This window comes from Homo sapiens, chromosome 2 (genome assembly GCF_000001405.40).
Source record: "Homo sapiens chromosome 2, GRCh38.p14 Primary Assembly".
Classification (NCBI taxonomy): Eukaryota; Metazoa; Chordata; class Mammalia; order Primates; family Hominidae; genus Homo; species Homo sapiens.
In genome coordinates, this window is record NC_000002.12 from 143,471,231 (window position 1) to 143,486,482 (window position 15,252).

The 15,252-nt window shown below is 37.6% G+C and overlaps 1 protein-coding gene across 13 annotated transcripts in view, besides 2 other annotated features; it reads left to right on the plus strand.

Annotated features, from left to right (window-relative positions):
* Positions 1-15,252, plus strand: part of ARHGAP15 (Rho GTPase activating protein 15) — a 638,934-nt gene that overhangs the window by 341,812 nt on the left and 281,870 nt on the right. The gene's annotated exons all lie outside the window — the stretch shown is intronic.
* Positions 9,566-10,079: an enhancer, noted in NCBI's record as "NANOG hESC enhancer chr2:144238365-144238878 (GRCh37/hg19 assembly coordinates)". NCBI's record gives its function as "activates a minimal SCP1, AML or CMV promoter by ChIP-STARR-seq in naive H9 embryonic stem cells {active_cell/tissue: H9 hESC(naive)}" and the evidence as "EXISTENCE:reporter gene assay evidence [ECO:0000049][PMID:30033119]".
* Positions 10,309-11,069: an enhancer, noted in NCBI's record as "OCT4-NANOG hESC enhancer chr2:144239108-144239868 (GRCh37/hg19 assembly coordinates)". NCBI's record gives its function as "activates a minimal SCP1, AML or CMV promoter by ChIP-STARR-seq in primed H9 embryonic stem cells {active_cell/tissue: H9 hESC(primed)}" and the evidence as "EXISTENCE:reporter gene assay evidence [ECO:0000049][PMID:30033119]".

A 15,252-nucleotide genomic window follows, 5' to 3' on the forward strand; every position in this document is an offset into this window, starting at 1 on the left:
TGTGTATATGTGTATATATACACACATATATATATACACATAGAGAGCATGCATTTATTTTTGTTTGTGTATATATGCACACACATACTGAGCACTTTTTTGCTTAAAGATTATCTGGGACCAGAGTCTCTAGAACTGAGACTAGAGTCTCTACAAAACTAAGTAATTAAAAAATTGGCAAAAATCCTGCTCTGGGAAAGCCTCTCTAATGGGAGAGAAGAAAAAAGAGATATTATTAAAAGAAGTAAAATACATATTAGATAGTGATGTTTAGCAAAGTAAAAACAAAAACAAAAACACAGAAAAGAAAGGGGATAGAGGGCTCCTAAGTGGGGAAAACTTACAATTTTAAGTAGAGAAAGAACCTAGGAGAGGAGGGAATGTTTGGGGACAGGCCTGAAGGAAGTGAGGTATGTTACCATGTGGATGTCTAAGAAAAGAATGTTCAGGTCAGAGGAAGAAGCATGTGCAAAGGACCTGAGGCAGGATGTGCTCAAGAAAGAGCAGGAAGACCAATCTGTTTGGAGTAGGATGAATGACTGATAAGAAGTGTAACCAATCACCTCCATCTACAGGTTTGAATGCTTACCCAGGAGACACTCATTTTGAGGACCCATCTTTTACTCTGCTGTTCAGAGCTAATCTATCTGAAAAGTGACGGAAATTACCCTATGGCCTGCAGAAGCAAAGCAAAGGGTCTCCTGCCTACTAATCTACTCCCTTACCCCCAACCGTACTCACAGCTCAGTTCCTTGGATCTTTAGATTCTCCCCAGAGCTGACATTCCATCTGCAATTAATCAAGTGTTGTGTTAAATTTTTTTTAATATGTAAAAGATGTTTCAGCTGTGATTATCAAAGTATACAATTGTGTGTCCTAAGGCTACATGGCATGGGATATACATCTGATGCAATTCTGATCATTATCATCACTACATAAGGTAACATTGTTCCACATTTATCAAATCAGACCTCCTGCCATTTCTGTTTGGGTAGACACGGCATAAATTTTAAATTAAGGTGTATAAAATAAAAGATTTCTATATATTTTTTTAAAATTATTATTAGGAGAAGTGGTAGTAGTAACCCACACCATGCATTCACCAGGGAGATTTATACTACCAGTACATTTATTGCTATCAAGTTGCAATTAACAAACATTCATGCAGTTGGAGAATTGGGTATGCAATGCGTCAAAAGTGTGAGAAAATGTACTGTCTCAACAGGCGATTCCTAGGGCTCTTCCTATTCAATATGAACATGACTTTTTAATGAGAGCTAGTATTAATATAAGCTTAATTTAATTTTATATACTTATTCCAAGTTTCTTAAATTATTCATATCCTCTTTCTGTTTAGACGCATCAGTATTGTGAGGTTTAATTGTTAGCTCCCAAAGCCTAAGGACTATCTCTATTTAACTCACTTTTCAGCTAAGCTAGTGAAAGCTGTAAATTATGATGATGATGGGGGGAATGATGAAGAGGAGGAGGAAGGGAGGGGAGGACTGTAATCTACTTGAGTATATATAAAGCACTGTGATATTGTACATCATAGTATTTAATCCTTGCAACATGGCACCAAGATCTTTTTATCCTTATTATGCAGATGAGGAGACTGGGCTCCAGGGAAGTTAAGTCACACACTTGCTAAGTGGTAGACCCAGGACTCAAAATTAGATCTCTTAATGCGCAAGCCTGTGTGCTTTCCACCATACATCTTGCTCTGATACTATTCAATTATTAAACATTTTTATTGATCACCGCTACATACTAGGCTTGATGACAGACAGTGTAGGAACCACCATTAAACTCCAAACTAGAACGTGAAGACCCACCTCACCCCACCTTCAGCCTCACCTCCAGTTTGCATTCCAACAACATTTTATTTCTTGTGGCCATGAAATGAGAAAAGAAATATTTTTGCCAAACCATCACATGACTCAGAGAAATTCTCAGCTGGCCATTGACTTGCAATGGAGCAATAAATTTCCATTTTCCTTTGCAAAGGCCCACCTAAGCTCCATGTTTCTGTCCCCCTCTGCTTTCCTTAGCCATTGCATTCCCCAGCACTTGTTCGTGTTTTCACACTAACGTTCACAGGTGGCCTTTTCTTTTTTCTGCTGTGCCAGAGTGCAAACAGCTAAACTTTCTTTCTGATGACTAAGTGAAGGAAATATTTCCTGGTGGATATTTCCTAACTGAACTGCTTGACAAAAATGGGGAGGGAGTCAGATCCTGCCAGAATATTTCTCTTTTACTCTTGGTTCTGCTTTGACAGTTTGGAGGATTAAGGGACAACAATGACAGTAGTTCTTGTTATTAGCCATGTCTTACCGTGTCTTTCTCACCATTCACAGTGTCCCTGTTGGAATAAATGCTGATGACTACATCTGTTGTGTTATTTAAAGTAGATCTTTAAGTCAAAATGAGGATGTGTGCGCACTGCCTCATTTTGAGTTTGCTTAATGTTTCCAGCCATATTTTAGAAATAAATCCCAAATGCTTTTTTGCTAAGTGCATTTTCCTTTCGATTTTAAACCTATGTGTATTTTAAAGGTCATTTAATCTGTGCATTTCCAATTCCTCCAGTCTTAAATCATCACTGTGTTATTTTATGTAAGAGGTACTTAATGTCTCAAGAAGCTTTTGGAGGCCTTTAAAACCCAAAGACTTTTCTTTTCCAAGACCAGAAGTTCCATTTTGTGAAGAGTAAACAAGCCTGAAGAAGACCGAAATCTCAGCCCGTTCAATAGTCCAAAAGTTCAAGTTTCAGAGGGGTTGGAATTTGGCGAAATGAATTTTCCCATCCATAGCTCAATCCTCTATATTCCCTCCTAGCTTAGGCTGAAACACATGGAAATTATATCCAGCAGGCACTCTTCTCAGTGACATCTGCATCTGTAGGGGTGTCCTGGCATTCAGCAACAAAATCCTCTTCCCCCAGGGAAAAGGAAGACTCAAAACCCCAAATAATAATAATCTATTACAGATTTCAGGTTACCAAAAGTTAAAGAAATGGATAAAAGCAAAACACTTAGCATTGCTACATGTCAAAAGGAAGGCTACTGTAATCACCCCCCACCCTTGAGGCATGTATTTTTCAGGTTATTATGCATAATTATGCATACAAATTTAAATATATTTCCATATTATATTCAAAACTGCCCAATTCTTAAAAAATGTAGGATAAAACAAAATTAATTGATGGCAATTACTGCATTTAGATTTAAATCTAAAATTCCTGGTTACTGGAAGAATTGGGCCAGTAGTGGGCACCTCGAACAACAGAACTGTCTCTTCTGGAACATTCTTCTGGATTTAGGAACAGTGTTTCTCTAAAATTAAATGTGAGATTAGAGAGGCATAAAGAGGTGCTGACAGAAAACCAGAAATGGTGATTAAGAAATTTGGATTGAACCTTTATTTCTTACTACGTGGCCTTAACCAAATGATTTAAACAATTTGGGCGTCTTTTTCTTCATCTGAAAAGCTAGGCGCATTCACTCCATGCTCTCTCAAGTTCCCTCCAGATTTAATATTTCATGTTTCTGAGACTCCAACATGAACTGTGCCCAAGAATGGGGTTATCTGACGGTCAACAACAGAAAAAAGCTTGGCAATTTGATTACAATTAACTCATTTAGGAAAGAAGTAAAATATTTGGGATAACACTGGAGTTTTGGCAGTAAGTAAATCTCCCATCACAATTTTTAAATGGAAGGAAGAGTTAATCCAAAAGGGTGGCTGGAAGCAGAAAGTAGTTCCATTTGTCACACACATGGTGACCACCATCACCATACAGCACCCAGAGGGATTTCAAAATGGACAACACATAAAACAACCTATATCCAGACCACATCAAGTGTCAGAATGATGTGGATCTTTGTGGGGCTTTTCCTAGTTTTCTCTCCTTCTTTAGAAATGTATGTTATGAATTATGATTATTGCAATAGAGCCAAGTATTCACCGGGCTCCAGCTAGATCTTTGTTTAGTGAGCATAAGCTCCCTGCCAGCTGCAAACTGCAGCTGTCTGTCAGCATTTGTGAGGACAAACCACCCCACTATCCCTGATCACTTAGCCGTAGACGACATACTGTGTCCTCAGATCTGCTCAGAGCACCCCTTGCATTTTTCAATACACTTCCTGTGGGGGAGGGCATCAGTGCTTCGCACGCACATTTTGGAGCAAATAGCTTAAATCTTATGTCAAAATGATGCTTTTAATAGAGGGTTCTGTCCCAACAAAACTATTCTGTGAGAGACTCACTGACTCTGGCCTGACATTTCCGGATATTCGATGTCCTGAAAAAGGCAAGGGAGGCTACCACTCTGACAACCAACTGTTCCTCAAGACACAGTGGGCCCTACAGAGGGTGCCAAGAGCATGGGCCCCAGGCCAGGAACCTGTCTTACAGCTGGGGAATGTGGGGGTAAGAAGGCCATGGCAAAGGGGTGAAGCCAGAGGAAGGGCATAGCCCAGGGTGCCCAGAGCAGCCATCCTCCTGGGCCATAGCTTACAGCCAGAGACAAGACCCAAAGGAATCCTTATTTCAGGAGAAATCGTTGTCTAGAACATTCAAGTAAACTTGGAACTCTGCAGTTTTAGAGGGGCTTTGAGGGATGATACATTTTTCTTGACTCTCATTTGCCAGCCTCCTATGCAATTTATTTTCCTTTAAATTGCAAGGCATGCTCAGAATGGGAGAGAAACTGGCAGCACCACACCAGATTTAATTAAAGCATTGTTGGAGTTAACCAAGAGTCTCCCCTGTTTTTATCAAAAGTGACTCATGTGGGTGAGAAAAATCATTTTTAGAGGGGTGCCAATTTCAGGAATACCCTGAGAATTACCCTCGGAATTTAGGAATACTCTGCTTTTTCCAGGCACTTGTATACAGTAAACTTGGGGTTTCTTAAAGGATAAAAACTATTGCTGAAGTTTCTTTGGGCTCTGGGGTACTTCTGAAACACTCCAAGAAGCCTGAGCTATGGTCCCCTAGTACTTGTGGAAAAGACTTCTTTGAAACATGTTTAATAATAATATTTTCAAGTAAAAAAAATAAATCTGGAATTCTTCCTACTCATGGGGGTATTGTGAGAATGCTCTTTGTTATGTAAGAGTACTGTTTCAGTAAGAACTGTGTCCCCTTGGGAAGAAAGGCACAATGCAAATTCAAATTAATAATAAAACTGTACAATATGTAGCATATGCCCAAAGTTGGCTTAAGTCACATAATGAAGAAAACATTCTAAGGTTTGGGAAAAGACTCAGCCCTATGCATATGTGTGTGTGGAGCTGTATGTGTTTATGGGCAGGAGAGCACTGACCCAACATAAACACTTTCTTTCCCACAACTTAAACATATACACAATACTTAAAATAGTTTCTTTCAGGAGTAGAAACCATGAGAGTCACAGGGTCATTAAACAATAGCAAAGCTCTGTTAGTCCATGATCTTTCCTTATTCAAGAGGATTATAAAATAAAAACAAAGATTCTGCAAGGAATCAATATTTTGCAAACACATAGCAATTTACAGTACAAGAGTATTTGGATTGCTAAGTACCTTCACTTCTGTGTTGCTGTTTGCTGCTTCATTGTGAAACCTTTTTGCTGGATGTGTTACATGCGATGAGCTTGGGTGTTATAATAAACAGAGAGGAAGGCTGCAATAATGTATTTCAGTTAGGAAGAAGCACTTGAAAGAAATTGCTTTTGCTATACACATGATGTGAGCCAATCAATAGTGGTTTAGTCTGACAAGCCCTGTCAATATCCATTGTCACAGTTCAGAAAGTCGTTAATGGATAGTTCTTCAAAACCCAATGATTTTAACACATGTTCAAAGTCTTGAAATACACTCTACCTGGCAGAAATTAATCACAGGTAACTCTTGGGAAAGTATACAAGCATTTTTTTAATGAGAGCCAAATCATTTACACACACACACACATGCTCGCACACACACACACACACTCGCGCACACACACACACATATACAGCAGCTAAGGGTCTAATCTAATAACAACAGATGCATAGTGAATGCTCAGTAAATGTTGAAAAAGTGAGAGACACTGGGATGGAGGCTGAGAAGGGTCCTTTTTATACACCTGTTCTGTAAATTTAATGATTATTACAGTGGTGATGATGATGCAGGATGCCTATCATATTTTAATTATTAATCATATTTTAATCATTAATATTAATCTATTAAGATTAATAATTGCTTCTGTTAACTACATATGTATTATACATTAGACATTGAGCTGGATGTTTTTCCTATATCAGAACATTTAACATACACAAAAATCCTTGGCATGGATATTATTATCCCCATCTAACAGATGATACAATACAGGCACAAAAAACTGGCATAGCTTGAATAAGATACAACGTTAAGTGACAGAGTTGGAATTCAAAATCCAAAGCCTATATTATTCAAAAAAGAAAGAATGGGTAGGAGAGAAAGGAACACACTTGAAAAAAAGGAAGAAAGAAAGAAAAAAGAAAGAAATGGCATTAGCAATTGGAAGGAAGCATATCAATGGTTCTTATCTGCTTTTCCCCAAGTCCTGATCCTGAACTCTTACACTCAGTTCCTGTGAAGCAACCAGGAACAAAACAAGCCTCTGAGCTCTGGGGTTGGGCATAGAGAAGAATGGGATTTCCCAGTTTGGCTGAAAGAAGAACTAAGGAGTTTGCAGAAGTAAATGTATTCACTTACACTGTTGTGGGCTAAGTGTGTGTCTGAAAAAGATTGTGTGAGGGCAGGGGTAAAACTGAAAGACACAGCTAGGTTGCTAGCCATTTTTGCCTGAAAGGAACCCCCAATTCCCACCTACATCTCTCCTTCTGTGTTCATTGTTGTCTTGCTGCATAGAGCAATCTGGAGCATGGTGAGTGATTTGTCTTCTGCCCAGTATGCATCCTTGCAGCAGAACTCAATTCATGTCCATGGTGGTTACAGTTCTGTCCTACCCAGATGTATTCTTCAACTGTTCTTATTGGCAATCCAGAGAGTATTCAGCCACCAGCTCCACTGTTGTCCCATGATTCACTCATCTTACCTAAGATGACTCTTTTTCTCTCTCAGCCGTACAATGATACACACCACATGGATAGTTTCAGTAATCAGTTCATGGTAAAGCAGATGATTTAAGACCTTAGGTTGCAAGTACTTGAGTATGGTGAGGCAAGGGGGTGGGGGACATTACCATCTCTCTATGTCCTTAGACACGGTGACAGCATTGCCACACAGATGGACAGGCAGGGCCTTAGGGCAGGGAATCAGACACCACCTGAGTTGTGGTTCTGCCACTGATTTGCTACTTGGCTTAACTTCTCTGAACCTCAGATTTCTAATCTGTAAAATGGATAATAATGGAACCTACCATATTGATAAGGATTAAATGAGATCAATGTGCTTAGTAAATTCCTTATTATATAGCAAATAACTTCAAAATATTAGTCATTATTATAAATATGACATTAGAATAATCCGATTGTCTAGCAAAAGTGGAAATTAAGACTATTTTAGAAGAATTATGTATAACTTATAATCTAAGAAACATTTTCCCACTTCTTAACTATTGATTATTTGGCTTTAAGACATTTCTCAAACTATCTGCACATGTCATGTATGTTTTTCTGTCCTGGCTGAAAATTTTGTTTGGAAAATTAAGGATACATTATAGCATATTCTTTACTAAAGATACATTGTAACACACAGTCCAGGAATTTAGAGATTTAAAGAAGAAGCCTCAAAATTACTATATGTTACTCCCCTCTATACCTGCTGAGAATGTATCTTTACAGGCATTTTTACAAATGTGCAAACAAATACGTACATATGATATACAGTGGTAGCTCTCACTATGTATGTATACATGGAAAGAGTATTTAAATGCCACTCAACTGAAATACTGCTAATGATGGTTCAGAATCTGAGTCCATACATCAGTACTGAAATATCCAATATTCTTATATATGCATGTGTTTTATTCTCCAACTTGACTTACTTTTTTGCGGAAATCTAAGTGTTAATTTCGTAGAAGGCAGAGGCTATCACCTCTCTGGTGGAATTACCACGCCTACAACTCTTTTTGGGGTTTTTTTTTTTTCTCTTTTATGGACTGATGTTCACATTTATATTTAAGGCTCTTCTCATTTGATTTGGCTGTGGCCTGTTTTCTATCACTAGAAGAGAACCCATTCCTGTATTTAATATACAATCTTTCCTCATGGAAAACATATTTCTGCTTCACAGTGCCCTTTGTGTGGATTGATGCCCTATGATATTTTCTTCTTTTTTTTAGTAATTCAGCTTTCAATATCAGCTACTGCCTTAGCTCAATAACCACTTACTTTATTAGCAAATTTATCAAAGTTTTGAACAGCTCTCAAGTGACAAAGTTTTACTGACACTATATCAAGTCATAAGAAGCCCAGTTAAAATATATAATCAATAGAAGAATGTCTAAATGATCTGAATCTTTACATTTTACACTGTATCTCATTTTGTTTTAAGGAAAAAAAAAATGTCATTGTGTTTCTCTACATACAAGATAGGTTTTGCTGTTTAGGTATATTTTCCCTCTTTTTATTGTTTTTCTGAAAATGTAGTATTTTCATAACCTGTGACGCAAAAAAAAAAAGTCATTAAACTCTGGCTTATAAAAGGAAACCAGATAAATCTATAGTGGAAGGGAAATTAAACATTGTGATGGTATACTTAATATTTGCAGTATGGGATTGAAGTTATCAATCATCATTATTACCATTAAAAGTACTCACTATGAAACCCAAAGCTATGCTAAGTGCTATAACAAAAAGAGTTTAAACAAAACACCCTGCCTTACACTATAGAAATACATTATCAATGTAGATACACCTAAGATGTATTACGAGCAAAATAAAAATACTAAGTCTATACATGAAAAGACAGTGAAGAATTTACATCATAGACAAATGCATTAGAAGTAGAAGACATGGATACATAAATTCCTGAGAAAAGTAGCCATGAAATTTTCCTATGGCTGAATTGACAGTAGACGCCAGCTGTTCACTGATATCAAAAATGCAAAAATGTGGTTAGATTTAACTACTTAAAGTTGATAATGCAGTCTAAAAGTAAACATTTTAATTGTATGAATTTTCACTTCTCCTTAAATGGGTAGATAGCATGAATATTAATCATGGAATAGATGATGAGTACACACCCTTCTGTTATGAATCTAATTGTCTATTTTGTATTTCCACAATGTCTAAGTGGGAATTAAGTGGTTAAAACTGAGCACTGCAGTTAAAGTGCCCAGCATTCCCTCTTTCAATTATTTCCAGATTTAATCATGATTTGTGTTTTGAGCAAGTCACTTAAAGTTTCAATAACTTAGTTTTTCAGGCTGCAAGTTGGGGTTTGAAATTATGACTTCTATTTACACTGAGCAAGTGAAAAAAAGAGATATTAAATGACCAACAGTACATTAAGCCCAAACTTACCCTTTCTGCCCACTCTGACATAGGGAGTTATGTGCAAAGTTCTGGGAGCTCTGAAACCACAGGCGGGGGAAGGCAAAGCAGTATTTATTACAGCCCCATGAATTAGCACAAGCGTGAATGCCCTGGAAAGGAATAAACAGGAGGCTGGAAAGAAATGTAATAAACTTGATTTCTTTTTTTCAATCAATTTGGGATAAGGTGCTCTTATTTATGTAATTTGGAAAGTAGTTAAGCAGGGTAATTCCAATACAAGAAGTTTGTGTTGGAAAATGTGAGTGGAGATAATTCAGTACTTTGTTATGTAATCCCTATGATGGTGTGAGAAGAGTTTTGGAACCTCTGGGGATTAAGAGCCTGACAAAACCTTATTTTGTCTTTTTTTTTTCTTTGATTTCCTGCTCTGAATACTGCAGAGTGGTAAGATGATGGCACTAAAGCTACTGTTGCCAGCTTTGCCCTTGATGTCCTTTTGGAATTGAATTGAAATGTTTAGAGCTCCTAGCTGCTAACAAAACTATCTACCTACACTGATGTTGATCTCAATGTCAAACCTCACCGATAAAGTGAGAACAAGTAGTGTAGAAAGCTGTGTGTAATAGCTTTTCTGAAGTATAATGACTCCACTTTCCTTTAGCAACATTTCTGAAATGTTGGCTGTCCCAGCACTTCCAAATTTCAAAAAAAAAATAATAACAACATGTAATTGTAACATGGGAATACCGCGAGAACAGCAGTTTGGCAGGAAAAGAAGGTATTTCAAAATAAGGTCCCCAGAAAGAGATGTTCTGGCAGATGCACAATTTTGGATCATATTATCCAAACCGTTGAATTCTGGAAGATTTGGGGGTTTTCTTTTTTGGTTCCCATACCCTAAATGGGAGTAGATATTCGTCGTCCATCCAGAGGGCATTGTTTCCCCTTCCTGTTACTAAAGTGAGAAAATAAGTATACTAAGGGCACCCATTTACAGTAAGCATTCGTAGCTCTAGAGGTGATTTTTAATAGCACAATAGCTGTGTCAGGTATAACACTTGTGTTGGGCTAATGCCTATTCTCATATGTAATACTATTAACTGAAGATCATCTTAGAAAGCCCACTATCCTAACATCTTAGAAAGCCCAGAATTCTAACTCCCCTCTGGTGAGAGCAGTTTTAGCACCAATTAAGTCTCTCAACTGGTTAAGAATGGTATTTAAAGCTAATGCCTTTGGCCTGTGTGTTGAGATTTGAATTGCCTATTGTTATTGAAAATTCTCAGTCTTTGAAAAGCATTCTATTTGTTCAGGCTTGACAGAAAAGATCTCCAATGGGAAAAGCAGAGGAAAACATAAAGGAAATATAAGTAAATTCTAGAATACCTGGAAAGCTAGTACATTTCAGGTTAAGGTTAATGTTTATGGAGGTAAAAATACCTAGGATTAAGAGTGATTGCTCTAGTCTCTTATGCAAATCAGATTAAATATTTCAGAGTTTAAACCCATATCTCTTTTGGCTCTATTTATTTTCAAATAAAAACTCAAAGTGGGAATGGAAAAAAAAAACTACTCGTTGGCTTAACATAAATCTTTAAACTGCAGGAAGCTTCACCCTCAAAAAGTAGTTGAATCTCTGAGGGAAAAGAAAAGGCTGAATTCTATTTTTCATAAATGATGGATTATTGTACCACACTGTGTATTTTCCAGTAAAGTGTCCTTTTATTTGCACTGTGTGATTACAAGTTTCTAAAAGTATGTGTGGGGTCACTTGGGTGCTGTGGGAAAATGGAAGGAACACTGTTCTGTTAAAATCAGTAGTGAAATCAGAAGCAAACTATGTCCCGATTATCACAGGCATGTGTTTAAATTTTGCTTTCCTTAATTGGTTATGTTGTATTTACTTAAAATGAACAATTTGGCAAGTTTTTCTCCCTTGACAACAGAAAAGCGTAAACTGTTTTATAAGTTTGGCTGTTAAAATCAGATTTGTAAACCACGATATTCAAAGACTTTTACGGCTGTTTACAGGGTCCCAGTGATGGACCTTGCTTTATATCCACGCACTTCTTAACATTTTTATTTTGTATTTATAGTGCTTTCAAGTTATTTGGTTAATAAAAAGTATGCTATATATTATAGTCATCTATTGACTTCAACCTCTACATAACTCTTCTTAGAACAAAATGAGTGGAATGAATGATGGCACAGGCCTTGTAATTTGACTTGTCATCTGAGGACAATTATTTACGGCATCAGGAAATGGAAGTTGACGTTCTAGTCTGTCTCCAGGAAAGTAATCATTAGAGCCAACTTTGGAGAGTTTGGCTACGTTAAAAACTGTCTAATCATGTCCAAGACTCTGCTAGTTTCTCAGTATGTATGAGAAGGAAACAAGATAAAGCATTTAAAAACATATTTTCATTTTCTTTGAAAAACCAATGCACCTTACACGCATTTCTCACATGTGGAGCCAGATGGTGGTATTGAAGACAATATGATATACATATATATCTCTCTAATTAAGAATACTATCACCAGAATACCTAGGGGAGTTTCAAAAAGATATAACTCATACCGTAATTATTTTCATAATCTAGCATTTATACGTCATGTGTGTATATTTTAATTTGCAAAGTACTTTCTAATGGCATCGTTTTTACTAGTTCCAAATGGAAGAAAAAAAATATACCGTGCTTGGCCCTGCATTTCTTGGTATTCTATCATGGGAAATGGCAAGGTTTTTGAGGTGAGACCAGAAATCGAAAATATTACTTTTGTAACCTGTGAAAACTTAGATTGATTATTCTGTGTCATTCCAAAGATGGACTTGAAACCAAAATTGCCCTGAGGCAGAGTTATTCTGAAGGATGTTAAGTGTTTCTTCAGTCTCCAACACTAGAATACAGACCTATGGGACTTTGACTACAGCTGTCAGTTGAAGCAGATCATACATGACTGGTGGTCACTGCGATGACTGGACCTAGAAGGAAAGTTGTTAGGATAGCACATAAACACACTTTGTTAAGATGCTCAGAATGACTCTTCCAACTATACAATTTTGAATTTGTTAATGGCTGATATTCAAGGTCTTGTAAAAGCAATTTTTGTTTGCTTGGGTTCTCAGGGCACTTGATATTTCTCCAAAATGACCTGAGGTCAATCCCTCCTCTTAGATCCTTTAATCTCTTACATTTCCATTTGACTCCTTACTGTGCTGCATTATAATTACACAGGCCAGACAGGCGGCCATGGTGGCTCAGACCTGTAATTCCAGCACTTTGGGAGGATGAGGCAGGAGGATCACTTGAGGCCAGGAGTTCAAGACCATCCTGGCCAACCTGGTGAAATCCCACCTCTATTAAAAATACAAAAATTAGGCCAGGCGTGGTAGCTCACACCTGTAATCCCAGCACTTTGGGAGGCTGGGGGTGGGGTGGATCACTTGAGGTCAGAAGTTCAAGACCAGCCTGGCCAACATAGTAAAACCCCATCTCTACTAAAACCACAAAAATTAGCTAGGCATGGTGGTGTTCACCTGTACTCCCAGCTACTCAGGAGGCTGAGGCATGAGAATTGCTTGAACCCAGGTGGCAATGGTTGCAGTGAGCCGAGATCGCACCACTGCACTCCAGCGTGGGCAACAGAGAGAGACTCCATCTCAAAAAAAAAAAAAAAAATTAGCCAGGCTTAGTGGCACATGCCTGTAATCCCAGCTACTCGGGAGGCTGAGGCACGAGAATCACTTCAATTTGGGAAGTGGAAGTTGCAGTGAGCTGAGATTGTGCCATTGCAACCCAGCCTAAGTGACAGGGTAATGATTATCTCAAAAATAAATGAATAAATAATAAAAATAAAAATAAATAATTACACAGGCCATATACATGTTATCCACAACAATTAAACCCAGCACTGCCATGTATATAGTAGGTGGTCAATTTGTGTTTATTTTTTATTATCTTCCAGCACTGTCCAACATGAAACATATGTATAATGTAAAATCTTCTGGTAGCCACATTTTAAAAAGCAAAAAGAAACAATTTAAATAATAAGATATTTTATTTAGCAGAAAATATCCAAAAATTATCATTTCAACATATGGCTCAAACTGCATGTCAAGTGTTCAATAGCCCCAAGTGACTAGTGGCTAGTACATTGGATAGCACAAGTCTAAAGCAGTGCTTTTCAAACTATTGAGATACACAGAGACAATCATACTTGTATAACACACTGGTGGAAACTGCTCATAGCCAAAGAATATACAGTACAACTGCCACAAGGACTCAGGCTGTCTTGGTCTTGCCTAAATTACCCTAAGAGCTGAGGACATCTGTTAACTCTCAGACCTATAGTACCCATTTTTTAAAGTTTACTTTAATTTAAAAAAAAATTTTTAATTTCCGGGATACATGTGCAGAGTGTACAGGTTTGTTACATAGGTATACATGTGCCATGGTGGTTTGCTGCAACTATCAACCCGTCATCTAGGTTTCAAGCCCCACATGCATTAGGTATTTGTCCTAATGCTCTCCCTCCCCTTGCCCCCACCCCTTGAAAGGCCCTGGTGTGTGGTGTTGTCCTCCCTGTGTCCATTCTTAAGAGCCCCATAGCTGGGAAGCTGTCTACCTTTCTCACATGATAGTCACTGTACTTTTATTATCAATTCATTTAAAAAATAGATAGCTCATGACAAATATATAGATAGATGGTAGATATGTATGAGATTGTGTATATATACATACACACATATGCTATAGATATATAGACATTTATTTTTCTTTTCAGAGTTCTTTTACATTTTCTCAATGTATAGATAGACCTTCCACCGATAAATGAGAACTTCAGATGGCCCTATAATTTTTCCAATCAGTTTAAGGCAATGATCATCAACAGGAAGTAATTCTGTACCCCAACCTCCACCCTCATGGACCTATGGCAAAGTCTGGAGGCATTTTTTTTTATTGTCATAATTAAGGAGGGCGTGCTGCTGGCATATTGTGGGTACACACCACGGATGCTGTTCCATATCCTACACAGAGGACAGGCCTCTACAACAAAGAATTGTCTACCCTAATATGTCAATAGTACAAAATTTGGGAAGCAATACTTTAAAGTAATATAAAGTATTACAGATTTTCAGGTAGCAAGAATTGTCTCAATTTAGTAATTTACAGTACCTAGTCCTATGTGATAATCCAAACTTTAATTGAAAAATAAAATTCCACCCTTCTCCCAGCTAGGAGATAAGCAGGATATTTTTCTTTTTCTGTCATTCTCAGTCTTGAACTTCACCTTAATTCCCCATTTTGCTAATTCAAGTTTGAGCCTGCTTTGTAGTCAAAGGCAGGGAAAGCAGGATGCAAAAATTCCCTTTCTTTGCCAGTTATAGAGAGGTTTCTCACTCCCTGGACCAGGTAGATTTTCAAAAGCATATCTATATTTATTAAAAAGAATACCTAATAAAGTATCCCAAACCCTCTCATTATGTCAACAATTGAATGAAGGCAGTGGAGCGTTCAGTTAAGATATATATCTTGTCTACAGACACAACAAATTACTATCAGTAATTAATAATAAGACACCTTGGGCCAGGAACAGTGGCTCACACCTGTAATCCTGGCACTTTGGGAGGCTGAGGTGAGCAGATCACTTGAGCCCAGGAGTTCGAGACCAGCCTGAGCAATGAAGTGAGATCCCATTTCTACCAAAAAAAAAAAAAAAACTTTAGTCAGGTGTAGCCAGTAGTCCCAGCTACTTGGGAGGCTGGGGTGGGAGGATCA